The 27,239-nt window shown below is 52.4% G+C and overlaps 1 protein-coding gene and 1 long non-coding RNA gene across 5 annotated transcripts in view, besides 8 other annotated features; one reads left to right on the top strand and one right to left on the bottom strand.

Annotated features, from left to right (window-relative positions):
- The window catches only part of ULK1 (unc-51 like autophagy activating kinase 1), a 28,529-nt gene extending 24,480 nt beyond the window's left edge, over positions 1–4,049 (bottom strand). For all 4 annotated transcript variants that reach the window (XR_007063134.1, XM_011538798.4, NM_003565.4 and 1 more), the window contains exons 1-3: positions 3,559–4,049; positions 2,978–3,070; positions 2,847–2,888 (exon numbers count right to left, since the gene is read on the bottom strand). Coding sequence is in view for 3 of the 4 variants with exons in the window: in XM_011538798.4 (XP_011537100.1) it covers positions 2,847–2,888; positions 2,978–3,070; positions 3,559–3,669 (246 nt within the window). In the remaining variant the exon portion in view is untranslated. The remainder of the gene's footprint in view (positions 1–2,846; positions 2,889–2,977; positions 3,071–3,558) is intronic.
- Positions 1,068–1,865: an enhancer, noted in NCBI's record as "H3K27ac-H3K4me1 hESC enhancer chr12:132381351-132382148 (GRCh37/hg19 assembly coordinates)". NCBI's record gives its function as "activates a minimal SCP1, AML or CMV promoter by ChIP-STARR-seq in primed H9 embryonic stem cells {active_cell/tissue: H9 hESC(primed)}" and the evidence as "EXISTENCE:reporter gene assay evidence [ECO:0000049][PMID:30033119]".
- Positions 2,233–2,292: a silencer, noted in NCBI's record as "silent region_5105". NCBI's record gives its function as "represses an Ori minimal core promoter by ATAC-STARR-seq in GM12878 lymphoblastoid cells {active_cell/tissue: GM12878}" and the evidence as "EXISTENCE:reporter gene assay evidence [ECO:0000049][PMID:35858748]".
- Positions 2,323–2,382: a silencer, noted in NCBI's record as "silent region_5104". NCBI's record gives its function as "represses an Ori minimal core promoter by ATAC-STARR-seq in GM12878 lymphoblastoid cells {active_cell/tissue: GM12878}" and the evidence as "EXISTENCE:reporter gene assay evidence [ECO:0000049][PMID:35858748]".
- Positions 2,323–2,722: a biological region, named in NCBI's record as "Sharpr-MPRA regulatory region 8404".
- Positions 2,353–2,647: a silencer, noted in NCBI's record as "tiled region #8404; K562 Repressive DNase unmatched - State 1:Tss". NCBI's record gives its function as "represses a minimal TATA promoter and a strong SV40 promoter by Sharpr-MPRA in K562 cells {active_cell/tissue: K562}" and the evidence as "EXISTENCE:reporter gene assay evidence [ECO:0000049][PMID:27701403]".
- Positions 2,573–2,722: a silencer, noted in NCBI's record as "silent region_5103". NCBI's record gives its function as "represses an Ori minimal core promoter by ATAC-STARR-seq in GM12878 lymphoblastoid cells {active_cell/tissue: GM12878}" and the evidence as "EXISTENCE:reporter gene assay evidence [ECO:0000049][PMID:35858748]".
- Positions 3,790–4,299: a silencer, noted in NCBI's record as "silent region_5102". NCBI's record gives its function as "represses an Ori minimal core promoter by ATAC-STARR-seq in GM12878 lymphoblastoid cells {active_cell/tissue: GM12878}" and the evidence as "EXISTENCE:reporter gene assay evidence [ECO:0000049][PMID:35858748]".
- Positions 4,330–4,379: a silencer, noted in NCBI's record as "silent region_5101". NCBI's record gives its function as "represses an Ori minimal core promoter by ATAC-STARR-seq in GM12878 lymphoblastoid cells {active_cell/tissue: GM12878}" and the evidence as "EXISTENCE:reporter gene assay evidence [ECO:0000049][PMID:35858748]".
- Positions 4,513–5,613, top strand: LOC124903059 (uncharacterized). The gene is made up of 2 exons (XR_007063538.1): positions 4,513–4,824; positions 5,096–5,613. It is a non-coding gene; the product is annotated as an uncharacterized LOC124903059 (long non-coding RNA).
- The last annotated feature ends 21,626 nt before the right edge of the window (positions 5,614–27,239 follow it).

Below are 27,239 nucleotides of genomic sequence, written 5' to 3'. Positions count from 1 at the left end.
AATTAGCCTAGCGTGGTGGCAGGCGCCTGTAATCCCAGCTACTCGGGAGGCTGAGGCAGGAGGATCGCTTGGACCCAGGAGGCGGAGGTTGCAGTGAGGGGAGATTGTGTCACTGCACTCCAGCCTGGGCGACAAGAGCAAAACTCAGTCTCAAAAAAAAAAGAAAAGCAAAACCATAAGAGATGTCATTTTCTACTTCTCACATGAGCCACGATGGAAACCTCTGAGAGCCACCCTCCTGGCAAGGACCTAGGGAGACACATGCTTGGAGACAGGCTGAGAGACCAGTGGCATTGCCTCTCCGGAGGTCCATTTGGCAATAGCTACCCAAATTAAAAACCAGCATCCCTCCTACCCAAGGATTCTACTTCTAAGGATCCAGTCACAACCACCCTGATGTACCAGCATCCCAAAATAACCTCATGTCCCACCTACAGGGCCTTGGTGAAATCAGTTATGGAATCTCGGGCAACAGGCACGCCATGGCTGAAAATCACCACGGCAGACCCAATCAGGCCAGCAGCTAGCACCTCCACGATGGCTCCTCCAACCCGAGAGCACTCCCTCCTCCCTCACACAGCCCTCACAGCCCGTGCTTTCTGCTTCACAGAGGAAGAAATAGGACCGCAAACTAAAGAAGCTGTGTGTGCACATATGGCAGCCAGGACTGGGCCCCTCATCAGCGTCAGCCTGGCTCTCGACCACTGTGCTTACAGATGGTGACCTCTAACAGAGAGGGGTAAACTTTTTGAGGGTTTTGTTTTGTGTTTTTGAGACAGGGTTACACTCTGCTGCCCAGGCTGGAACGCGGTGGCAACATCACGGCTCACTGCAGCCTTAAACTCCTGGGTTTAATCAATCCTCCTACAACCTTTATAGTAGCTGAGACATGCCACTATGCCTGGCTAATTTTTTTTCTTTTTTTTTCTTTTTTTTAGAGAGAGCGAGTCTTGCTATGTTGCCCAGGCTGGTCTGTCTTGGCCTCCCACAGTGCTAGGGTCACAGGTGTGATCCACTGTGCCTGGCCGAGGGGTAAACTTTCTGATATGGATTGAGCCAGCACAGAACCTTCCCCAAGCTCTACTCTTTTAGAGACAGGGCCTCGCTCAGTCGCCCAGGCTGGATGGAGTGCAAACTATACTCTTAAGTGACAAAATTCACGGCGCAGAGAGGTGGGTGTGGCGGGGAAGGACACCGGTGAACACATCGCCTTGTAAGGATGGCTGTCCCCGGTGGCCCGGAAACAACTAAAGCAGGGGCCTGAGAACGGAGGGCAGCGGGACTCGATCGGGGGCAGGACTCTAGCCTCGACCGCACTCCCTCCCGTAATGTTTGAGGATTTTCTTTTATCACCCAAATCGTTCATTGTCCATTTTTAAAACCCAGTTATTTTTTCCTGGGTTTGGGTGCCTGCCTCAAACATTGCCTTACCGACACAGGGCAACAATCCCCACGCCTGTGGGGGCGAGGGCAGGCTAAGCTGCAGCTCCAGCAGAGCCCGGTGCCCGGAGACAGGAGCGCCTGCAGCTGGCGGCTCCAAGTGCTTCCTGAGTAGAGAAAGCCGCAGAGTTGCCAACACTGGAGGAAGTGGCAGATGCCCACAACCAGGTGTGTGTGGCTGACTGGGATGGAGCTGGGCCTGGGGATACTGGTCCCGGGTCTGCGGGGGTCGTGCGGACAGTCACAGGGCCTGGCCTGGAGATGCCCAGGACTGGACCTGGGGAGCCCTGGAGGGGAGCAGCAGGCAGTGTAGCCCAGGGTGGAGGGGGAGTCCCTCAGAGTCGCTGCCTGGCCAGGGACAGCTGTCCACTCCTTGCTGGCTCCCAGAGCCATGACGCATGTGCAGGCTGTGGTCCAGGCAGGAGGCTTCCAAACATGGAGAGGATGAGGAAAGAGGAGGAAGGGAGGGAGGAAAGCAGGGAGAAAAGGGGTGGGAAGAGGGCGGGAAAAGCAGCAGGAGGGATGGCCCAGCTCCAGGACACAGTGTGCCTGGGTTTCCAGGTACTCGCTGGACCTGGGCCCCCCCCACCCGGCACCTTGTGACAAGCCTCGGTCCCCAAGGCCACAGCAAAGCTCTGAGAGGCGGACGGAGGAGGCCACCAAAACACGGCCTGCCAGCCCTTCCCTCAGCCAGGGGCTGGGCCCTGGGCTCAGTAAACAGGTCACAGAGCCATTAGTCAGCACTTTGGCGGGGCGGATCTCCCGCCTCAGGTTCCTGGTCCCCAGGACGGCACCCTGGCTCCCACAGCCCCAGCCCTGCCTGCCCTGGGCCCCGGGACACGGAGGCAGCACGAAAGCCAGCTGGTCCCACCGCTTGCTTCTTGGGGCCAGCCGGGCCCGAGGTCATCTCCTTGGCCAGCCAGCGGCAGCCGCCTGTGCCCCGGCCCGGCCCTGACTGCCAGCGAGCAGGAGTCTCCGGCGGCCCCTCCCCCGCCCCGTCTGACGCAGAGCGAGGCCGGCCAATGCCGGCCGCAGGAGCAATGTCAACAAACACACGGCCTAGACAGGTGGGCCAGGCCGGCAGTGCTGCCAGGGCCAGCCGGGGACGCCGGACTCAGGCAGGGCCCCTAGGACTGACGCCCGGCGGGGAGGGGATGCCTGTTCAGGAGAACTCAGCCCTGCCCTGGGGCGCCCTGCGGCCCAGACACCCCCTCCCCGGTCTCACAGCTGGGGAAGTCACAGCAAGAGCCAGCACCAGCCCAGGCCTGGACCCAGGGTGGAGTCTCCAGGGGCCCAGTAGACCCCAGCCTGGACAGGCTCAACACCAGTGCTCACCAGGGGATCCAGCACCTGGGGCCACAGTCCCCCAGCCCGGTCCCCAGCAGACCGCAGCCCAGAGGCCTTACCTGGAAGTCGTACAGGGCCACGATGTTTTCATGTTTCAGTTCCTAGGACAGAAACCCAAGTTTGTTATCAGTGTGGGGAGGGGGGCTTGCCCACGCCCACGCCCACGCCCCCTCCCCCAGCACTGGCTCACCTTCAGGATTTTGATTTCCTTCCCCAGCAGCGTCTGAGACTTGGCGAGGTTCTTCTTGTTAATGCACTTGACGGCGACCTCCAAATCGTGCTTCTGAAAGCCAAACGTGCACCTTCAAGGCCAGGGCTGCCCCTCGCAGGCCTCCCCCAGACCCCAGTCCACACAGGTGGGGCCCTGAGATGATCCCGGTTGGGAATCCCGGGACTGGAAGGCCGAGTGGGGAGCCAGGTTGAGGATCGCGCTGGGGGTCCTGGGGTAGGGATCCAGCCTCGAAAGCCGGCTGTGGGACCAGGTTGCGGGGTGTCCCGGGGTGAGGGTTTGGACAGGAAAGTCGGGCTGGGGGTCTCGGAGTGAGGATCTGGGCTGGAAAGCCCGGCAGCGGATCTCGGGGCGGGAGTCTGAACTGGAAAGTCGGGCTGGGGGTCGCGGGGTGGGGATCCTGGGGTGGGGGTCGGCCTGGAAAGTCGAGTGGGGCTCTCGGGAGGCGTGGGGGGGTCCCGGGACAGGCGGGGAATCTCGGGGCGGGGATGCAGGGGCAGGGGATCCTGGGCGGGGGATCCCGGGCCGGACGGGGGCCTCACCTCGCGGTGGCGGCCCTTGAAGACCACCGCGAAGGCGCCGTGGCCGATCAGGTCCTTGCGGGAGAACTCGAACTTGCCCACGGTCTCTGTGCCGCCGCGGCCGGGCTCCATGGCGCAGGCGGGCCGGGGGCGCGGGGCGGGGGGTGGCGGGCCAAGGCGCGGGGGACTCAGGCGGAGGCGCGGGCCGGGGCGGGCGGGCCGGGGGCGCGGGGCCGGGGGCGCGGGGCCGGGCGAGGGCGCATCTCCGGGGCCGCGCGCCCCATCGGGCAGGCCGGGGCCGGGTCCCAGCCCCGCGGGCCAGGCGGGGTCCGAGGGTCGCGCTCCCTCCGGCGCCTGTGCCACGGCACTCTTCCCGGGCTGCTAATCCGAATCCGGATCCGACTCCGACTCCGACTCCGGCTCCAACTAGGGCCCGGGCTCGGCCCCAACGGAGAAACAAAAGAGCCGCGGCGCCCGGGCCTCAGAGCCTGAGACGCCCGCGCAGCCGCACTGCGCGCCGGGCCGGGAGGCGGGATGAGGGCGGGGCCTGCGGGACGGAGCGGCAGAGCCGGGCGTGACGAACAGACGGGGGGCGGGGAATGGGGCGGGGCCTGTCGGGGGGGTGGGCGGCTGGGCCGGGCCATTGCGGGGCCGGGTGGGCTGGGAGTGGGTGGGGCCAACAGCGGACCCGCCCCGGTGAGAGCAGAGAGGCGCGCTGACCCGGGAGCGGGCCACGGGGCTCAGTGTTGATTCCTTGCCCCACTCCCTTCCACGCCCCTTCCCCGCCCCTTCCCCGCCCCGCTTCTTCTCTGCTCCCCTCCCTCCTTTCCCCTCTCTCCGTCCTCCTCCCTCCTTTTCCCCTTCCCATCACCTCTCTCCCTCCCTGCCCCCTCCCTTCCGCCCCCTCCCATGCCTTCCCCCCCGCTCCCCTCCCGCCCCCACTGCCTGTTCTCCTCCCTCCTGTCCCCCCTCCCTGTTCCCCTCCCTCCCCTTCCCTGTTCCCCTCCTTCCCGCTCCCTGTTCCCCTTCTACAGGAGAATGGAGAACAGGCGTGGGAAATGTTCCCAAAACGGGGGACTGCGCAGAATTAATTCTTAGAAATAGAATGGCTGAGTTAGAGGTTAGGCATTTAAAGTTGAGTTCCATAATGCCAAATTGCAAAAAAAAAAAAAAAAATTGTAGACCAAAAAGTTGTCACCCAAACCAACGACATAGCCCATAAATCCGCTGGGGAGGAAAGGTTAGCTAGATGGGCTGCGCATCGGTCCTGTGGAACACTGCACAGAGGTAAATATACCTGTGCTCAAGGGTGAGTTCTCCAAAGATTATAATTAAGTAAAAGCAAAATATGGAACAGGGCACTGTACTGTCTGTCGTTTTAAGAAAGCGGTAGGATTGGGATGTGTGTGTGTGTGAAACGCCTGTAATGTGTACATGGTCGTTCCTAACTATAATGACAGCTAACTCATCACTTAGGCCAAGCAGCGCACTTTCCAGCGATTAGTGCATCCATTCAATGATTCCACGAGGCACTTGCTGTTATGTCCCTGTTTTACAGATGAGGAAATCAAGGCGGAGAAAAGTTGGAGAATGTGTCCAAAGTCACACCGCCGGCAGCCAAAAGAGCCCGGGGGCTCACTCACAGAAGACACAGCCAACAGCGATTGCTCTGGGAGAGAGGACCGGGGAAAAGTTAGTGCTGTTCACCGTACACGTTGCGCGCTAGTTGGAATGGCTTTCACCACGTGCAAGCACTGCTTTTGCAAATGCATGATTCTAAACAATGCTCACCAACCCAGCCTTCAGTACAGTCCTAAAGTAACAGCCCAGAAACACACACTTCAGCCAGGACCCTCCATGCTGCCTCCCAGAGCAGCCCAGCAGCTGGACAGCCTGATGCCCTGGGCTGGATCAGCAAGTCCTGGATGCCTTTTACCTGCACCCAGCTCATCCTCCAGGCCGCAGGACACACAGACTCCCGACCCTGGACTGGGGGCCAGAAGCCACCGAGCTGGAAGGGACAAGAGGTCTCCTGGCCCACCATGTTTGTTTTCCCAATAAAGAGGTTCCACAGTGCCCCGTAGTCAGCCATAGCATTCACTCACATCCTGGAGTGCCTGCTGCACACCGGCCTGCCCAGAGAGCACACGCTGCGAGGTAAGTGCTGCAGTTGACACAGTGAGAACAAGACCCGCCTGCAGGAGCTCCCAGCGCTTAGGGGTGGGGGACAAGAAGAGCAAAGATTGCACCACCCGTGGCAAAATTGCAAGAGAAAAATGAGTGAACAGGTGGCTACGTGCTGAGGTGATCAGGGCAGACCGTGAGGGCCGAGATTGCTAGAGATGGCGAAGCCTGTACTCCTGGAAAGTACTCAGGGAACCCCAGCCCAGCCCACCCTGGCCTGGAAAGCCAAGCTAACGGGGTCTTCACCCCAAACTCAAAGAAATACCCAGGAAGAGTTTAGGAGAGGGTGGGATGGCAAGATGGGATTTGCATTTGGAAACCGTTACTAGGCCCACCGAGGAAGGACATGTTTCTTTTTTGTTTTGTGCGGTCTTATTAAATTTTTTATTCTTTTTATAACTTTTAGGTTCAGTGGTGTGTGGACAGGTTTGTTATACAGGTAAATTATGTTTCACAGGGTTTGATGAACGGATTATTTCATCACCCAGGTAATAAGCAGAGTACCCGATAAGTAGTTTTTTGATCCTCTCTCCCTCCTCCCACCCTCCCACCCTCAAGTGGGACCTGGTGTCTCTTGTTCCCTTCTTTGTGTCCTATTTTCTTTTTTTTTTTTTTGAGACGGAGTCTCGCTCTTTCGCCCAGGCTGGAGTGCAGTGGCGCTATCTTGGCTCACTGCAAGCTCCGCCTCCCAGGTTCACGCCTTTCTCCTGCCTCAGCCTCCCGATTAGCTGGAACTACAGGCGCCCGCCACCACACCTGGCTAATTTTTTGTATTTTTAGTAGAGATGAGGTTTCACCGTGTTAGCCAGGATGGTCTCGATCTCCTGACCTCGTGATCTGCCCACCTCGGCCTCCCAAAGTGCTGGGATTATAGGTGTGAGCCACAGCGCCCGGCCCGTATATTTTCAGTGTTTACCTCCCACTTATAAGTGAGAACATGTAGTGTTTGGTTTTCTGTTCCTGTGTTAGTTCGCTTAGGATGATGGCCTCCAACTCCATCCATGTTGCTGCAGAGGACATGATCTCATTCTTTTTTATGGCTGTGTAGTATTTCATGGTGTATATGTACCACAGTTTCTTTTTTTTGAGACAGGGTCTCACTCTGTCACCCAGGCTGGAGTGCAGTGGCTCAATCGCCACTCACTGCAGCCTTGACTACCTGGGTTTAGGTGATCCTCCTGCCTCACCCTCCCAAGCAGCTGGGATTACAGGTGCACGCCACCACACCCTACTAATTTTTGTATTTTTTGTAGAGATGAGATCTCACTATGTTGCCCAGGCTAGTCTCAAACTCCTGGGCCCAAGTGATCCTCCCGCCTCGGCCTCCCAAAGTGTTAGGATTATAGACGTAAGCCATCGGCCCAGCGTGGTGGCTTACGCCTGTAATCCCAACACTTTGGGAGGCCGAGGCGGGCTGATCACCTGAGGTCAGGAGTTCGAGACCAGCCTTGGCCAACATGGAGAAACCTTGTCTCTACTAAAAATACAAAATTAGCCGGGTGTTGTGGTGCATGCCTGTAATCCCAGCTACTCGGGAGGCTGAGGCAGGAGAATCGCTTGAACCCGGGAGGCGGAGGTTGCGGTGAGCCGAGATCGCACCATTGCACTCCAGCCTGGGAGACAAGAGTGAAACTCCATCTCAAAATAAATAAATAAATAAATAAATAAAATTAAACAACAGACATAAGCCACCACACCCAGCCTCAGAATGTGTTTGTTTTTGTTTTTTTTTGTTTTGTTTTTTTTGAGGCAGAGTTTCGCTCTTTTCACCCAGGCTGGAGTGCCATGGCGCGATCTCGGCTCATTGCAACCTCCACCTCCCTGGTTCAAGTGATTCTCCTGCCTCAGCCTCCCAAGTAGCTGGGATTACAGGCACACGCCACCACACCTGGCTAATTTTTGTATTTTTAGTAGAGATGGGGTTTCACCATGTTGGTCAGGCTGGTCTTGAACACCTGACCTCATGATCCACCTGCCTCGGCCTCCCAAAGTGCTGGGACTGCAGGCGTGAGCCACCGCGCCCGGCCCATCTTAACCATTTTTAAGTGCACAGTTCAGTGACATTAAGTACAATCACATTGTTGTGGGCCGGCCGTAGTGGCAAACGCCTGTAATCCCAGCACTTTGGGATGCCGAGGCAGGAGAATTGCTTGAGCCCAGGAGTTGGAGACCAGCCTGGGCAACATGGTGAAACCCTGTCTCTATAAAAACATTGTTGAGGCGGGGCGTGGTGGCTCACGCCTCTAATCCCAACACTTTGGGAGGCCGAGACGGGCGGATCACTAGGTCAGGAGATGGAGACCATCCTGGCTAACACAGTGAAACCCTGTCTCTACTAAAAATACAAAAAATTAGCCGGGCGTGGTGGCGGACACCTGTAGTCCCAGCTACTCAGGAGGCTGAGGCAGGAGAATGGCATGAACCCGGGAGGTGGAGCTTGCAGTGAGCCAAGATCGCGCCACTGCACTCCAGCCTGGGTGACAGAGCGAGACTCTGTCTCAAAAAAAAAAAAAATTGTTGTATAACCGTCACCACCATCCAGCTCCAGAACTCATTCAGCTTCCAAAACAAACTCTGTCCCCGTTAAAGACTCATTCCTCATTCCCCTCCTTCAGCCCCTGGCACCCACTCTTCTACTTTCTTTTTTGTTTGTTTTTTGTTTTTGTTTTTGTTTTTTGAGACAGAGTCTTGCTCTGTCACCCAGGCTGGAGTGCAGTGGCATGATCTTGGCTCACTGCAACCTCCGACTCCCGGGTTCAAGCAATTCTCCTGCCTCAGCGTCCCAAGTAGCTGGGATTACAGGTGTGTGCCATCACACCCGGCTAATTTTTGTATTTTTAGTAGAGATGGGGTCTCGCTATGTTGGCCAGGCTGGTCTCAAACTCCTGAGCTCAGGTGATCCGCCCGCCTTGGCCTCCCAAAGTGCTGGGATTACAGGCGTGAGCCATGGAGGCTGGCCCTCTCTTCTGCTTTTGTCTCTGTGGGTTTGACTCCTCTGAAAACCTCATATAAGTAGAATCCTATAGTATTTGCGCTTTTGTGACTGGCTTCTTTCACTGAGTATGATGTTCTCCAGGTTCATCTATGTTGTAATGTTGGGGCTCAGTAATTGATATCCCAAAATAGGGCACCTTCACACGCTGAACTGAAGAAAGAAACGCTCAAGGTCTCTCCAGCCTCCCCCCACTTCTCCCAAAGTCAAAGCTTCTTTATCTGCCTAAGATCCGGACCCGCCAAGGAGAACAATTGTTTATTCCTTCCCCTCCCTGGAAGAGCAAGAATGTGGCTACACCTGAACAGATCCTTTCCCTCAGAGAACCACCTACGAGTTAACCCTTTTCCTTCAGAGAGAACCATCTAGGAGTTACTCTCTCTTCCCAGACACATTCATTCTCCCGGTGTATCCCCTCAACAGAGCTGCCCTTCTCCCCACCTCCCATAACCTGCTTTGCTTCTGACCTCCCTGAGGGTGTGGGCAGTCGCTCTGTGATTCTCCCTGAATGCACATGTTCCATAAACATGCACACTCCTTCTCACCTGCTTTTTGCGAGTTCATTTTTCCACAGTCCTTCCAGGGCTGAGCTGTGGCCTTTACGGTCCTGTGTGTCAGAACATTCTTCCTTTTCAAGGCAGGATGATACCCATTGTATGGATAGACCACATTCTCTTTCTCCTTTTTCTTTTTCTTTTTTTTGAGACAGGATGTCACTCTGTAGCCCAGGCTGGAGTGCAGTGGCAGGAGCACAGCTCGCTGCAACCTCCGCCTCCTGGGCTCAGGTGAACCTCCCACCTCTCAGCCTCCCAAGTACCTGGGACGCGCCTTCACACCCAGCTAATTTTTTCATATTTTGTAGAAACAAGGTCTCACTGTGTTGCCCAGGCTGGTCTCCAACTCCTGGGTTCAAGCAATCCACCTGCCTCAGCCTTCCAAAGTGCTAGGATTCCAGGCGTGAGCCTCCTTGAGCTGGACATTTTCTTTGTCCATTTACCCATGGATGGACGCATGGTTATTTCCACCTTTGACTACCGCGAATCATGCTGCTGCGAATGTGGGTACACAGATAACTGTTTGGGTCCCTACCTTCACTTCTTTGGAATATATACCCAGGAGTGGAATTGCTGGATTGTAGGGAATGTTATTTAATTTCTTCAGGAACCTCCACACCATTTTCCACAAGGTCCACACCATGTTACCTTCCCAACAGCAGCACCCACGCGTTCCCTTTCTCCACAGCCAACACTTGTTCTTTTCCCTTAGTTGCTTTCAACAGTACCCATGGGTGTGAACTGATATCTCATTGTGTGTGTTTTTTTTTTTGAGACAGAGTTGTGGTCTTGTCGCCAAGGCTGAAGTGCAGTGGCACAATCTCAGCTCACTGCAACCTCTGCCTCCCAGGTTCAAGTGATTCTCCTGCCTCAGCCTCCTGAGTAGCTGGGATTACAGGTGCACGCCATGCCCGGCTAAATTTTTTTTTTTCTTTTTTTTTTTGAGACAGAGCTTTGCTCTTGTTGCCCAGGCTGGAGTGCAATGAAGTGATCTCAGCTCATTGCAACCTCTGCCTCTCGGGTTCAAGCAATTCTCCTGCCTCAGCTTCCCGAGTAGCTGGTACTATAGGTGTGCACCACCACGCCCCGCTAATTTTTGTATTTTTAGTAGAAATGGGGTTTCACCATGTTGGCCACCATGGTCTCTATCTCTTGACCTTGCAATCTGCCTGCCTCGGCCTCCCAAAGTGCTGGGATTACAGGCATGAGCCACCACGCCTGGAGCTAATTTTTGTTTGGTTTTGGGTTTTTTTTAGAGACTGAGTCTCGCTCTGTCACCCAGGCTGGAGTGCAGTGGCACAATCTCGGCTCACTGCAACCTCTGCCTCCCGGGTTCAAGCAATTCTCCTGCCTCAGCCTCCTGAGTACCTGGGATTACAGGCACAGGCCGCCACACCCGGCGAATCTTTTTTGTATTTTAGTAGAGACGGGGTTTCACTGTGTTGCCTAGGCTGGTGTTGAACTCCTGAGCTCAGGCAGTCTGCCTACCTTGGCCTCCCAAAGTGCTGGGATTACAGGCATGAGCCACCGTGCCCAGCCTACATTTTTTATTTTTAGTAGAGATGGGGTTTCACAATGTTGGCCAGGCTGGTCTCAGTGATCCTCCTGACCTCAAGTGATCCACCCGCCTTAGCCTCCCAAAGTGCTAGGATTACAGGCGTGAGCCACTGAACCCGGCCTGACTGTGGTTTTGATTTGCATTTCTCTAACCACTAGTGATGTTGAACATCTTTGTGAGGACTAAACTCATATTTTTTATCTTGCCCAAATTCTTATCTAAGGGGTCTAGAGAGTCATGCCCTACAAACCATAAATTCTCATCAGATGGGTTTTATTTAATCCTATATATTGTGACTTAATTTTTTTTTTTTTAGACAGAGTCTCTCTCTGTCACTCAGGCTGGAGTGGAGTGGCACAATCTCAGCTCACTGCAACTTCTGCCTCCCAGGTTCAAGTGATTCTCCTGCCTCAGCCTCCCAAGTAGCTGGGATTACAGGCACCTGCCACCACACCCAGCTAATTTTTGTATTGTTAGTAGAGACAGGGTTTCTCCATGTTGGTCAGGCTGGTCTCGAACTCTCAACCTCAGGTGATCCACCTGCCTCAGCCTCCCAAAGGGCTGGGATTACAGGCATGAGCCACCACGCCCCACCCAGTTTGTGTATTTTTAGTAGAGAGGGGGTTTCTCCATGTTGGCCAGGCTGGTCTCGAACTCCTGACCTCAGGTGATCTGCCACCTTGGCCTCCCAAAGTGCTGGGATTACAGGTGTGAGCCACTGCGCTGGTAGCCTTTTTTTTTTTTTTTTTGAGACTGAGTCTCGCTCTGTTGCCCAGGCTGCAGTGCAGTGGCGCGATCTCGGCTCACTGCAAGCTCCGCCTCCCAGGTTCACGCCATTCTCCTGCCTCAGCCTCCTGAGTAGCTGGGACTATAGGTACCTGCCACCATGCCTGGCTAATTTTTTTTTTTTTTTTGAGATGGAGTCTCCCTCTGTCACCCAGGCTGGAGTGCAGTGGCGCGATCTCAGCTCACTGCAAGCTCCGCCTCCCGGGTTCACACCATTCTCCTCCTCAGCCTCCCCAGTAGCCGGGACTACAGGCGCCTGCCACCACACCTGGCTAATTTTTTGTATTTTTTTTTTTTTTTTTTTTTTTGAGACGGAGTCTCGCTCTGTCGCCCAGGCTGGAGTGCAGTGGCGCGATCTCGGCTCACTGCAAGCTCCACCTCCCGGGTTCACGCCATTCTCCTGCCTCAGCCTCCCACGTAGCTGGGACTACAGGTGCCCGCCACCACGCCCGGCTAATTTTTTTGTATTTTTTAGTAGAGACGGGGTTTCACTGTGTTAGCTAGGATGGTCTCGATCTCCTGACCTCGTGATCCACCCGCCTTGGCCTCCCAAAGTGCTGGGATTGCAGGCGTGAGCCACCGCGCCCGGCCTGGTTAGCCATATTTTGAAGGCTTTGCAAAGCCCTCCTTTGTGGGGAAAAATTTGCATCTGTGAAGAATCTCTATTAACATAGCTAGATCTTTTTCTTTCAGGCCCTCCCAATCCTAAAGAGATTAACTTAAAGTCTAGCATAGGAATTATTTGTCACTTACTGTCTCTCTAAGGGCAGCCATTGTAAGACCTCAAAGAAACTTTAGCCTCCACAATCTTTTCTCTTAACCTGAACATTTCCTTTCTATGGATCCCAGGTTTTTAGACAAACTCAACCAATTGTCAACCAGAAAATGTTTAAATTTACCTATAGCCTGGAGGCCTGCCCACCACCCCTTTGAGTTGTCTCGCCCTTCTGGACCAAACAGTGTCTTTCTTTAATGTATTTGATTGATGTCTCCTGTCTCCCTAAAATGTATAAAACCAAGCTGCGCCCCGACCACCTTGGGCATGTGTTCCCGGGACCCCCTGAGGCTGTGTCACAGGTCAGGGTCACTCATGTTTGGCTCAGAATAAATCTCTTCAAATATTTTACAGATTTTGACTCTTTTTGTCAACATTTGCAGGTGCTTACTGGCCACTTGTGTATCTCCTTTGGAGAAATGCCTATTCAAGTGCTTTGCCCATTTTGTAATCTGGTGGCTTGATTTTTTGCTGTTGAGTTGTGGGAGTTGGTTATGTATTCTGAATGTTAACTGCCTGCTTTTGTAAATAAAGTTTTCCTGAAGCCATGGTCTGCGTTTATTGGTTGTTTCTGCCTTCTTTAGTGCTACTGACATCGCCTTTGTAAAATTATGACTGAGACAGTGAAAGATCTAACTTAACCGACTCCATCTTCCTTCTAACCTCCAAGCTGTCTTTGTTCATTCCTGGGCGTAGGCTGAACTAACTTTGGGAGAAACTTAGCTTGTAGTTTACAGTTTAAACAAAGACGGTAACAGCCCTTTCCCAAAGCAAACCTCCTTCTTGCCTAACATTAGCCACAGGATTAGAAATTACGGTTTAGGAGCCATGCAGCTGGAGGCTACAAGATTCTGACCCTCCCTAAACTGCTCCTAAGATCAGCGCTTGAGATATTTTGCAGACCCTGCACTTGATGGATCAGCTGGCACCACCCAGATGGATAAACAGGCTCGTCAGATCTTGTGGCCCCCACCCAGGAACTGACTCAGTGCAAGAGGAAAGACAGCTTTGACTTGCTATGATTTCATCTCTGACCAATCAGCATCCTGGCTCACTGGCTTCCCCCCACCAACCAAGTTATCCTTAAAAACTCTACTCCCTTGCAGGATGCGGGTGGCTCACACCTGTAATCCCAGCACTTTGCGAGGCTGAAGCAGGTGTATCACGAGGTCAGGAGATCGAGACCATCCTGACTAACACGGTGAAACCCCCTCTCTACTAAAAATACAAAAAATTAGCTGGGCATGGTAGCATATGCCTGTAATCCCAGCCACTAGGGAGGCTGAGGCAGGAGAATTGCTTGAACCTGGGAGGTGGAAGTTGCAGTGCTCCGAGATTGTGCCACTGAACTCCAGCCTGGCAACAGAGCTAGAGTCTGTCTCCAAAAAAAAAAAAAAATCAACTTTATCGGGGGGTATAATCCACATACAATTAAAGGTTCACATTCTAAGAGTTCAGTTCAGTGAGTTTTGACAAACGTACAAACCCATTTATCCACTCCCAATCAACACAGAGCATTTCTATCGCCCAAAAGTTATCTCCCGCTCTTTCCCATTCAAACCCCACCCCAGGCCAAAAGTGATCTGATTTCAAGGCTATCAATGAGTTTGCATCTTCTAGAATCCCACAGAAGTGGACTCTGCAGCCGGGTCTCTTCGTTTGCGTCTTGGTTTGGGCCCATGTGCACTCATCCCTCTGGCTGTTTCCCGTGGCTGAGCGAGATCCATCCTTTCCCGTGACTGAGTGGGGGGGCCATCCTCTCCCTTGGCTGAGTGGGATCCATCCTTTCCCGTGGCTGAGTGGGGGGCCATCCTTTCCCGTGGCTGAGTGGGGGTCATCCTTTCTGTGGCTGAATGGAGGGCCATCCTTTGCCGTGGCTGAGTGGGGGTCATCCTTTCTGTGGCTGAATGGAGGTCCATCCTTTGCCGTGGCTGAGTGGGGGTCATCCTTTCTGTGGCTGAATGGAGGGCCTTCCTTTCCCATGGCTGAGTCGGTGGGGGGGCATCCTCTCCCGTGGCTGAATAGGGGGATCCATCCTTTCCTGTGACTGAGTGGGGGTCATCCTTTCTGTGGCTGGAGGGCCATCCTTTCCCGTGGCAGAGTGAGGGGCCATCCTTTCCTGTGGCGGAGTGAGGGGACATCCTGTCCCATGGCTGAGCAGGATCCATCCTTCCCGTGGCTGAGTGGGGGTCCATCCTCTCCCGTGGGTGAGCGGGCGTCCATCCTCTCTCGTGGCTGAGTGGGGGCCATCCTTTTCCATGGCTGAGTGAGGGCCATCCTTTCATGTGGCTGAGAGGGATCCATCCTTTCCTGTGGCTGAGCGGGATCCATTCTTTCCCGTGGCTGAGTGGAGGCCCATCCTTAGGTACCTCCAGTGAGCAGCCTACATCCTTGGAGGATGGAAAATTGATTTGCCTCTTCACAGACTTCTCTGGTTCTAGCTTTGGGCTATTTATGCGTGAAGCTGCTAAGAACATTTCCCAAATGTGATTTGTATAAATACCTAGGAGTAGGATTCCTAGTGTGAGGTCAGAGTCTGTCTAGCAGCATAAAAACAACCAAAAGATTTTCTGAGCCTCAGGGCACATGGGTGGGGCCCAGAGAGCACCCAGGACCGAAGCTGCCCAGGACCTCCCTCAAGCGCCCCAGGCTGTCCCCACTCCCACTGCTAGGAGCCTGCTCCAGGGCCAAGGGTGAGGCCCACCCTGCCTGGTGGCTCCCTCATGCCCCTCCGGCACCCCCAGGAGTGAGGGTGGGCTGCCAAGCTTCCCTTCCTCCACTTCCTTCTCTAACATGCCCACCCCTCCTTTTTTTTAAACAAAGAGGCTGGAGGCCCTAGGATCCAGCCTGGTGGCTCCGAGATCTACCTAAAGCGCCCTAGTGGAGGACAAAGATTTTTTCAGGAGATCAGAACTCTGACTTCTGCAGCTCTCTGGGGCTGGGCTGTGGAATGGAAGCAGCTTGGGACAGGAAGCGGGTGTGGCTCCTCCTAAAGGAGCTACACGTTGTTTTGTTCTCTTTTTTGACAGACTCTCCCTGTGTCACCAGGCTGGAGTGAGTTACATGATCTCGGCTCACTGCAGCCTTGACCTCCCACACTCCAGCGATCCTCCCACCTCAGCCTCCTGAGCAGCTGGGACTACAGGCGCACGCCACTCCAGCTATTTTTTTTAATTTTTGTGGAGATGGGGGTCTCACTATGTTGCCCAGGCTAGTCTGGAACTCCCAAACTCAATGAATCCTCCCGCCTCGGCCTCTTGAAGTGCTGGGATTACAGGCATGAGCCACCAGGCACAGCTAACTTAATCCTCTGAGAGGTCTTTTTTTTTTTTTTTGAGACGGAATCTCACTCTGTCACCCAGGCTGGAGTGTAGTGATGAGATCTCAGCTCACAGCAAGCCCCGCCTCCAGGGTTCACACCATTCTCCTGCTTCAGCCTCCCGAGTAGCTGGGACTAAGGCGCCGACCACCACGCCTGGCTAATTTTTTGTATTTTTAGTAGAGACGGTGTTTCACCGTGTTAGCCAGGATGGTCTCGATCTCCTGACCTCATGATCCGTCCGCCTCAGCCTCCCAAAGTGCTGGGATTATAGATGTGAGCTACCACACCTGGCCCATCCTCTGAGAGGTCTTCTTATCGTCCCTCCCATTTTCCTGAGGGGATAACAGATGCACAGAGGATCTAGCCGAGGCTCCCTGTGGCACCTGGAGGGGACTCAGGCAAGTTCATGCTCTCAGCTCTCTGACCTGCCCTAGGATTCAACCCACCCAGGTAGGGGAGAATCCGGGTGGCATCTCCAGGCTTTTGGCGCCTATCTGTGACCACTGTTTGGGAAAATGATCTGGAACATGTGAACAATGATGCGGCTCACACTTGGCTGTCACGTGGGAGCCTCATTTACTAGGTCCACCCACGAATTGCTTAATGATCTAGGACAGGCTGGCGTGATGGTTTACCTGTGTAATCCCAGCATGCTGGGAGGCTGAGTTGGGCAGATTGCTTGAGCCCAGGAATTTGAGACAAGCCTGGGCAACTTAGTAAGACCCCGTCCCTACTAAAAATTAAAAATTAGCCAGGCATGGTGGTGCACACCTGTAGTCCCAACTACTCAGGAGGCTGAGTGGGAGGATCACTTGAGCGTGGGAGGTCAAGGCTGCAGAGAGCTGAGACTGTGGCACTGCACTCCAACTCAGGAGGCTAAGTGGGAGGATCACCTGAGCTTGGGAGGTCAAGGCTGCAGTGAGCTGTGACTGTGGCACTGCACTCCAGCTTTCATGACAAAGTGAGACCCTGTCTCACTCTGAAAAAAAAAAAAATCTAGGACAAGAGTCAGCAAACAACCGGGCACAATGGCTCACGCCTGTAATCCCAGCACTTTGAGAGGCCGAGGAGGGCAGATCATCTGAGGTCAGGAGTTCAAGACCAGCCTGGCCAACACGGTGAAACCCTGCCTCTACTAAAAATACAAAAATTAGCCGGGTTTGGTGGTGGGCACCTGTAATCCCAGCTGCTCGGGAGGCCGAGGCAGGAGAATCTTTTGAACCTGGGAGGCGGAGGTTGCAGTGAGCACAGATTGCAGCATTGCACTCCAACCTGGGCAACAGAGAAAAAAAAAAAAAAAAAAAAAAAAATCAGTAAACGTTTTCAGTAAACCTTTCCTGCAAAGGTCCAGGTAGTATATACATCTTCAGCTCTGCAGCCACACAGGCTCTATCGCAACTGCTTAACACTCTGCAATGGTAGTGTAACCGCCCAAGGGGTTCACCTTGCCCACTGCTGAAACAAAGCTGATTCGTGGAGACAGGGGAATTGCAATCGAGAAAGAATAATTGGGACGGGTGCGGTGGCTCGTGTCTGTAATCCCAGCACTTTGGGAGGCCAAGGCAGGTGGATCACCTGAGGTCAGGAGTTCAAGACCAGCTTAACTAACATGGCAAAACCCCGCCTCTACTGAAAATACAAAAATTAGCCGGTCATGGCAGTGCACACCTGTAGTCCCAGCTACTTTGGAGGCTGAGGCAAGAGAATCACTTGAACCCAGGAGCCGGAGGTGGCAGTGAGCCGAGATCGCACCACTGCACTCCAACCTGGGCAACAGAGCAAGACTGTCTCCAAAAACAACAACAACAACAACAACAACACAACAAAAAAGAGTAATTCATGCAGAGCCGGCTGTGTGGGAGACCAGAGTTTTATTATCACTCAAATCAGTTTTCCCGAGCATTTGGGGAGTAGAGTTTTTGTTTTTTCTTGTTGTTTTTTTCACACACAACGTGGGTGAATCTTGAAAACATGATTCTTGTGAAAGAAGACAGACGCAAAAAGACATATTGAGATAAAGGACTAGCTGGATTTCCTAGGCCGACTAAGAATCCCTAAGCCTAGCTGGGAAGGTGACCGCATCTACATTTAAACACGGTGCTTGCAACTTAGCTCACACCCAACCAATCAGGTAGTAAAGAGAGCTCACTAAAATGCTAATTAGGCTAAAACAGGAGGTAAAGAAATAGCCAATCATCTAACACCTGAGAGCACAGAGGGAGGGACAATGATTGGGATATAAACCCAGGCATTCGAGCCGGCAATGGCAACCCCCTTTGGGTCCCCTCCCATTTTATGGGAGCTCTGTTTTCACTCTATTAGATCTTGCAACTGCACATTCTTCTGTTCTGTGTTTGTTACGGCTCGAGCTGAGCTTTCACTTGCCGTCCACCACTGCTGAATGCCACCATCGCAGACTCGCTGCTGACTTCCACCTGTCCAGGTCCGGCAGGGTGTCGGCTGTGCTCCTGATCCAGTGAGGCGCCCATTGCCACCCCCCATCAAGCTAAAGGCTCGCCATTATTCCTGCACAGCTAAGTGCCCAGGTTCATGCTAATCAAGCTGAACACTAGTCGCTGGGTTCCACAGTTCTCTTCCATGACCCACGGCTTCTAAGAGAGCTATAACACTCACAGCATGGCCCAAGATTCCATTCCTTGGAATCAGTGAGGCCAAGAACCCCAGGTCAGAGAACAAAAGGCTTGCTGCCATCTTGAGAGTGGATGCCACAATCTTGGGAGGTCTAAGAACAAGGACCCCCCCCAGTAACATTTTGGTGATCATGAAGGGACCTCCAAAGTGGTGAGTAATATTGGACCACTTTCGCTTGCTATTCTGTCCTATCCTTCCTTAGAATTGGAGGAAAATACCGGGCACCAGTTGGCAGGTTAAAAACACTGGACTTAAGACTCAGGTGTGAGGCTGTCTGGGAAAGGGCTTTCTAACAACCCCCAACCCTTCTGGGTTGGGAGCGTGGTCTGCCTGGAACCAGCTTCCACTTTCTGGGGAAGCTGAAGGCTGATTAGAGGCAGAAAGCTGTCGTCCTGAACTCCCATCATTAGCCTGTTGAGATTATGGTGTGGCCAGAAGTCTCTACTCAACAGTTGTCCATACATGCACCCCTACCTTTCCTTTTGACCCATACTTCCTGGGTCCTGAGCATGAATTTCTTGAAAGTGTAGCCGCAAAATTCTCCTTACTGCTGAATCTACTTCCTCTGATCCCTGCCTCCTAGATACTAATGCTTCAGACTTTCACTTCCTCTCCCAAGTATTAGAGCAGGTTGTATCTCCAAAGGGATCTAAGGAAGCTCTACGCTGTGTCCTTAGGCCCCTAGGCTATGAACCCAGGGAGTCTTGTCCCTGGTGTTCCCCCCAATTTAGGCATACAGCTCTTGACATGGGCAGTTAGGTGGGACCCGCTCCTACCACCCTTGCCAAGGCCTTAGAACTGATAACCCAGTATTTTAACAATTGGAACTGGGTCTACAACAACATAATAGATCAGGATATAAGTAAATTGAGTAAATAAAAGGAAGGTACATATTCCTATAGTGGCAAATGGGGGCAACGAGCGAACGTCCTTCCACTGTTTCCAAAAATCCATCTGCAAAGACAGAAAGGAGAACATAAGAGAGAAAGAAGTAGTAAAGAAAAAACAGTGTACCCTATTTCTTTAAAAGCCAGGGTAAATTTAAAACTTATAATTGATAACTGAAGGTTTTCTCTGTGACCCTATAACACTCCAATACTACTTTGTTGTCATTGTAAATAAGGGTGTAGCCCGAAAGCACTGAGGCCACTGACAACCAGTAGCCTTCCTATCAAAAATCCTTAACCCAGTAACCCCTGGGGGGCCAAATGCATTCAATCTGTAGTGGCAACTGCTTTGCTAACAGAAGAGAGCAGAAAATTAGCCTTTAGAGGAAACCCCATTGTGAGCACACCTCACCAGTTCAGAACTATCCTAAGTCAAAAAAGCAAAAAGGTAGCTTACTAACTCAAAAATCTTAAAGTATGGGGCTATTCTGTTAGAGAAAGATAATTTAATGTTAACCACTGAAAATTCCCTTAACCCAGCAGACTTCCTAACAGGGGATTTAAATCTTATTTACCATACTAAGGTCCGACCAGACCTAGGAGGAACTCCCTTCAGGACAGGACAATAGATGGTTCCTCCCAAGTGATTGAGAAAAAAACACAATGGGTATTCAGTAATTGAGGGAAACTCTGGTAGAAGTAGAGTTAAGAAAATTGCCTAATAATGGGTCTGCTCAAACGTGCGAGCTGTTTGCACTCAGCCAAGCCTGAAAGTACTTACAGAATCAAAAAACTCTATCTCAATCCTGACTCAAAAGGTTACCCACACCCTCTCTGAAATGAATTTGCATAAGAACTGTTGTTTATGGGAGTGCATCTTGATGGGGTAACTGGGGTTTATTATGAAATACTCAGGAACCCAGCCCAGCTCTAGAACTCACCCTTGGGTGTAAAGGCAATGTCGGGCACACTATTAAAGGACCACTAGAATCAATAGCCCGGACCTCTTTCTTTGTGGTCAAGAAAGGTGGGAAAACAGGTGCAGGACCTGCTACGTCGGTGAGTGTAACTAATCCAATAAGCAGAGGTCCGTGGGTGGTTACGCACCCTGGAAAGGAATAAGCATTAGGAACATAGAGGACACTCTAGGACTAACGCTCATCAGAAAATAACCAGGGGTCCTGGCATCCCTATGTTCTTTTTCCAGATAGGAAAAGTTCCCCTAAGGCAAAAACGCTCCTAAGATGTATTCTGGAGAATTCGGCCCAGCCAGAGTGTATGTGCCTTTTTCCCTCTCAGACTTGAAGCAAATTAAAATAGACCTAGGTAAATTCTCAGATAACCCCGATGGCTATATTGATGTTTTATGAGGGTTAGGACAATCCTTTGATCTGACATGGAGAGATGCAATGTTACTGCTAGATCAGACACTAACCCCTAATGAGAGAAGTGCTGCCATTACTGCAGCCCGAGAGCTTGGAGATCTCTGGTGTCTCAGTCAGGTCGATGATAGGATGACAACAGAGGAAAGAGAATGATTCCCCACAGGCCAGCAGGCAGTTCCCAGTGTAGACCCTCATTGGGACACAGAATGAGAACATGGAGATTGGTGCTGCAGACATTTGCTAACTTGTGTGCTAGAAGGACTAAGGAAAACTAGGAAGAAGCCTATGAATTATTCAATGATGTCCACTGTAACACAGGGAAGGGAAGAAAATCCTACTGTCTTTCTGGAGAGACTAAGGGAGGCATTGAGGAAGCATACCTCCCTGTCACCTGACTCTACTGAAGGCTAACTAATCTTAAAGGATAAATTTCTCACTCACTCAGCTGCAGACATTAGAAAAAAACTTCAAAAGTCTGCCTTAGGCCTGGAGCAAAACTTAGAAACCCTATTGAACTTGGCAACCTCCATTTTTTATAATAGAGATCAGGAGGAGCAGGCGGAACGGGACAAACGAGATAAGAAAAAGGCCACCCCTTTAGTCATGGCCCTCAGGCAAGTGGATTGTGGAGGCTCTGGAATACGGAAAGGCTGGGCAAATCCAATGCCTAATAGGGCTTGCTTCCAGTGCGGTCTCCAAGGACACTTTAAAAAAGACTGTCCGAATAGAAATAAGCCGCCCCCTCGTCCACGCCCCTTATGTCAAGGGAATCACTGGAAGACCCACTGCCCCAGGGGACGAAGGTTCTCTAAGTCAGAAGCCACTAACCAGATGATCCAGCAGCAGGACAGGACTGAGGGTGCCCAGGGCAAGCACCAGCCCATGCCATCACCCTCACAGAGCCCCAGGTATGCTTGATCATTGACGGCCAGGAGGTTAACTGTCTCCTGGACACTGGCGCGGCCTTCTCAGTCTTACTCTCCTGTCCCGGACAACTGTCTTCCAGATCTGTCACTATCCGAGGCGTCCTAGGACAGCCAGTCACTAGATACTTCTCCCAGCCACTAAGGTGTGACTGGGGAGCTTTACTCTTTTCACATGCTTTTCTAATTATGCCCGAAAGCCCCACTCCCTTGTTAGGGAGAGACATTCTATCAAAAGCAGGGGCCATTTTACACTTGAACGTAGGAGAAGGAACACCCGTTTGTTGTCCCCTGCTTGAGGAAGGAATTAATCCTAAAGTCTAGGCAACAGAAGGACAATATAGATGAGCAAAAAATGCCCGTCCTGTTCAAGTTAAAGGATTCCACCTCCTTTCCCTGCCAAAGGCAGTAACCCCTTAGACCCGAGGCCAACAAGGACTCCAAAAGATTGTTAAGGACCCAAAAGCCCAAGGCCTAGTAAAAGTATGCAATAGCCCCTGCAATACTCCAATTTTAGGAGTACAGAAGCCCAACAGACAGTGGAGGTTAGTGCAAGATCTCAGGATTATCAATGAGGCCACTGTCCCTCTATACCCAGCTGTACCTAACCCTTATACTCTGTTTTCCTAAATACCAGAAGAAGCAGAGTTGTTTACAGTCCTGGACCTTAAGGATGCCTTTTTCTGCATCCCTGTACATCCTGACTCTCAATTCTTGTTTGCCTTTGAAGAGCCTTCAAACCCAACGTCTCAACTCACCTGGACTGTTTTACCCCAAGGGGTCAGGGATAGCCCCCATCTATTTCGACAGACATTAGCCCAACTTGAGCCAGTTCTCATACCTGGACACCGTTGTCCTTCGGTGCTTGGATGATTTACTTTTAGCCACCCTTTCAGAAACCTTGTGCCATCAAGCCACCCAAGCGCTTTTTTTTTTTTTTTTTGAGACGGAGTCTTTCTCTGTCACCCAGGCTGGAGTGCAGTGGCGTGATCTCAGCTCACCGCAAGCACCGCCTCCCAAGTTCACGTCATTCTCCTGCCTCAGCCTCCCAAGTAGCTGGGACTATAGGCACCTGCCACCATGCCTGGCTAATTTTTTTGTATTTTTAGTAGAGACGGGGTTTCACCGTGTTAGCCAGGATGGTCTCAATCTCCTGATCTTGTGATCTGCCTGCCTCAGCCTCCCAAAGTGCTGGGATTACAGGCGTGAGCCACCACACCCGGCCCCACCCAAGCGCTCTTAAATTTCTTCACCGCCTGTGGCTACAAGGTTTCCAAACCAAAGGCTCAGCTCTGCTCACAGCATGTTAAATACTTAGCGCTAAAATTATCCAAAGGCACCAGGGCCCTCCGTGAGAAACGTACGCAGCCTCTACTGGCTTATCCTCATCCCAAAACACCAAAGCAACTAAGAGGGTTCTTGGCATAACAGGCTTCCACCAAATATGGATTCCCAGGTACAGTGAAATAGCCAGGCCATTAGATACACTAAATAAGAAAACTCAGAAAGCCAATACCCATTTAGTAAGATGGACGCCTGAAGCAGAAGCAGCTTTCTGGGCCCTAAAGAAGGCCCTAACCCAAGCCCCAGTGTTAAGCTTGCCAATAAGCTTATATGTTTCTTTATATGTCACAGAAAAAACAGGAATAGCTCTAGGAGTCCTTACACAGATCCGAGGGACCAGCTTGCAACCCGTGGCATACCTGAGTAAGGAAATTGATGTAGTGGCAAAGGGTTGGCCTCATTGTTTACGGGTAGTGGCAGCAGTAGCAATCTTAGTATCTGAAGCAGTTAAAATAATACAGGGAAGAGATCTTACTGTGTGGACATCTCATGATGTGAATGGCATACTCACTGCTAAAGGAGACTTATGGCTGTCAGACAACCGTTTACTTAAATATCAGGCTCTATTACTTGAAGGGCCAGTGTATGACTGTGCACTTGTGCAACTCTTAACCCAGCCACATTTCTTCCAGACAATGAAGAAAAGATAGAACATAACTGTCAACAAGTAATTGCTCAAACTTGTGCCGCTCGAGGGGACCTTCTAGAGGTTCCCTTGACTGATCCCGACCTCAACTTGTATACAGATGGAAGTTCCTTTGTAGAAAAAGGACTTCAAAAAGCGGGGTATGCAGTGGTCAGTGATAATGGAATACTTAAAAGTAATCCCCTCACTCCAGGAACTAGCGCTCAGCTGGCAGAACTAATAGCCCTCACTCGGGCTCTAGAATTAGGAGAAGGAAAAAGGGTAAATATATATACAGACTCTAAGTATGCTTACCCAGTCCTCCATGCCCACACAGCAATATGGAGAGAAAGGGAATTCCTAACTTCCGAGGGAACACCTATCAAACATCAGGAAGCCATTAGGAGATTATTATTGGCTGTACAGAAACCTAAAGAGGTAGCAGTCTTACACTGCTGGGGTCATCGGAAAGGAAAGGGAAATAGAAGGGAACCACCACGCAGATATTGAAGCCAAAAGAGCCGCAAGGCGGGACCTTCCATTAGAAATGCTTGTAGAAGGACCCCTAGTATGGGGTAATCCCCTCCGGGAAACCAAGCCCTAGTACTCAGCAGGAGAAATACAATGGAGAACCTCAGGAGGACATAATTTCCTCCCCTCAGGATGGCTAGCCACCAAAGAAGGGAAAATACTTTTGCCTGCAGCTAACCAATGGAAATTACTTAAAACCCTTCACCCCACCTTCCACTTAGGCATTGATAGCACCCATCAGATGGCCAAATCATTATTTACTGGACCAGGCCTTTTCAAAACTATCAAGCAGATAGTCAGGGCCTGTGAATTGTGCCAATGAAGTAATCCCCTACATTACAGGCCATACATTTTAATCCCTGTATCTTTAACCTCCTTGTTAAGTTTGTCTCTTCCAGAACTGAAGCTGTAAAACTACAAATCGTTCTTCAAATAGAGCCTCAGATGCAGTCCATGACTAAGATCCACCACAGACCCCTGGATCGGCCTGCTAGCCCATGCTCCAATGTTGATGACATTGAAGACACCCCTCCTGAGGAAATCTCAACTGCACAACCCCTACTATGCCCCAGTTCAGCAGGAAGCAGTTACAGTGGTCGTCGGCCAACCTCCCCAACAGCACTTGGGTTTTCCTGTTGAGAGGGGGGACTGAGAGATAGGACTAGCTGGATTTCCTAGGCCGACTAAGAACCCCTAAGCTTAGCTGGGAAGGTGACCGCATCCACCTTTAAACACGGGGCTTGCAACTTAGCTCACACCCACCCCGTCAGGTAGTAAAGAGAGCTCACTAAAATGCTAATTAGGCTAAAATAGGAAGTAAAGAAATAGCCAATCATCTATCACCTGAGAGCACAGGGGGAGGGACAATGATCGGGATACAAACCCAGGCATTCGAGCCGGCAACGGCAACGGCAACTCCCTTTGGGTCCCCTCCCATTTTATGGGAGCTCTGTTTTCACTCTATGAAATCTTCCAACTGCACACTCTTCTGCTCTGTGTTTGTTACAGCTCGAGCTGAGCTTTTGCTTGCCATCCACCACTGCTGCTTGCTGCCATCGCAGGCCCGCCGCTGACTTCCACCCCTCTGGATCCGGCAGGGTGTCGGCTGTGCTCCTGATCCGGCGAGGCGCCCATTGCCGCCCCCGATCGGGCTAAAGGCTCGGCATCATTCCCGCACGGCTAAGTGCCCGGTTCTTCCTAATCGAGCTGAACACTAGTCACTGGGTTCCACGGTTCTCTTCCGTGACCCACGGCTTCTAAGAGAGCTGTAACACTCACCCCATGGCCCAAGATTCCATTCCTTGGAATCCGTGAGGCCAAGAACCCCAGGTCAGAGAACAAGAGGCTTGCCGTCATCTTGGAAACAGCCCACCACCATCTTGGGAGCTCTAAGCACAAGGACCCCAACCCCACCCCCCCGTAGCAATATGACGTATGACACCACTTATATGAGATGCCCAGAACAGGCAAATCCACAGAGATAGGAAGTGAGGCCGGGTGCAGTGGCGCATGCCTGTGATCCCTGCACTTTGGGAGGCCAAGGCAGGAGGATCGCTTGAGCTCAGGAGTTTGAGCCTGCAGTGAGCCATGCCTGCACCACTGTGCTCCAGCTTGGGAAAAAAAGTGAGGCCCTGTCTAAAAAAGTAATAATGAAAATTAAAATAAAGTGGTTGTCAGGGCCTGGGGGGCAGCGCTTAAGGAGTGACTGCGAATGGGTGTGCAATATCCTTTTGGGTGATGAAACGTTTCGGAGCTGGCGTAAGGAGGTGGTTGCACAGCACTGTGCACTGCGGCTGTGTTGTGCACTTCATAATGTTTGATTTTGTGTCATGTGAGTCTCACTGAAATAAAAAAGGACGTGAGGAGGGGGAAGAAGGGAAAGGGGAGGACAAGAGCACAAAGGGTGCATAGGAAGCTTTTGCTAAAGTCACTTTTCCTGAACACCATTGCCCGGTAGTGTGGGAGTCCCGCCAGCCTCTCCACCAGGCCCGGGTGAGGGTGGGACGGAGGAGGCTGGGAGCTGTGGCCAGTGTGGCCTGAAGACAGTGGGAGACAGGAACTGCTAGGGCCAGGGACCCAAGCTTTATCCAGCATCTTCCCAGCCCAGAGAGCTCCAGCCCTTGAACTTCAGCAGCTCCCAATGAGGCCCGAGCTGGCCAGGAGCCTGCAGCCGGCCAGACTGGTTCCTGCAGAGGCCCTTAGAGTGCCCCAGGGACTTTGCAGCTTGCCTGTGACTCAGCCTGACACAAGCGGTAGCCGGCCCCATGATGGGACAGACAGGTCACCAGCCTCACAGCACGTCTGGAAGGCAGGCAGAGCCGCCACAGGCAGGAGAATCCTTGCAGGGCTGAGTCAGGGCCGGGGCAGGCTCCTGCTCCCCACGCCTCTGCTCTCCAACGTGGAATCCTCCAACATCCTCAATGCCCTGGTTCCACCAAGTAGGCGGGCAAACCTGCCCTCCCCGAATCTGCCCATCTCTGTAAATGGTGCAGTTCTACCCAAGGCCCAACACCCAGGTGAGTCTCCTGAGCTCACGCCCTCCCTCCTCCCCAACATCCAGCCCAAATGTCCATCTCCTTCACCTCCCTTCCCTAGTCCTGCCCTCCTGTCTCCATCCCCCGATCACTGCGTCTGAGCCCCTGTCATCTCTGACCTGCACCAACCCCAGACCCCTAATGGGGGCAGCCCCTTCTTTCCTCCCCATCCCCTGCACCTGGCAGCCGCGGGGCCTTTGCACTGACAGGCTCTTTGCCACTGGAGAACACGCCCTCTCAAGGCTCTCCCTGATGCCCCCTAGTCAAGTGCTGACACCAGGGGTCCATGGACCAAGGTTGGCTGCAAGGTTGGCCACTGGGTGCCTGTGAACGTGCCTGGGGGGTCACCTCTTCCTTTTTGCTAACCTCCAGCAGAAATGTAGTATTTCCTTCACTGATCCTCCCCAGGCATCATCCAAAAAAGGATACCTTGGTAGCACAACCACTGGGTTTTTTTGGTTTTTTTTTTTGAGACGGAGTCTCACTCTGTTGCCCAGGCTGGAGTGCAGTGGTGCAATCTCTGCTCACTGCAAGCTCCGCCTCCTGCGTTCACGCCCTTCTCCTGCCTCGGCCTCCCTAGTAGCTGGGACTACAGGCGCCCGCCACCACGCCCGGCTAATTTTTTTGTATTTTTAGTAGACACGGGGTTT

This window comes from Homo sapiens, chromosome 12 (assembly GCF_000001405.40).
Source record: "Homo sapiens chromosome 12, GRCh38.p14 Primary Assembly".
NCBI lineage: Eukaryota > Metazoa > Chordata > Mammalia > Primates > Hominidae > Homo > Homo sapiens.
Note: the sequence above shows the minus strand (reverse complement) of the source record. Positions and strands in the feature narration are given on the sequence as shown.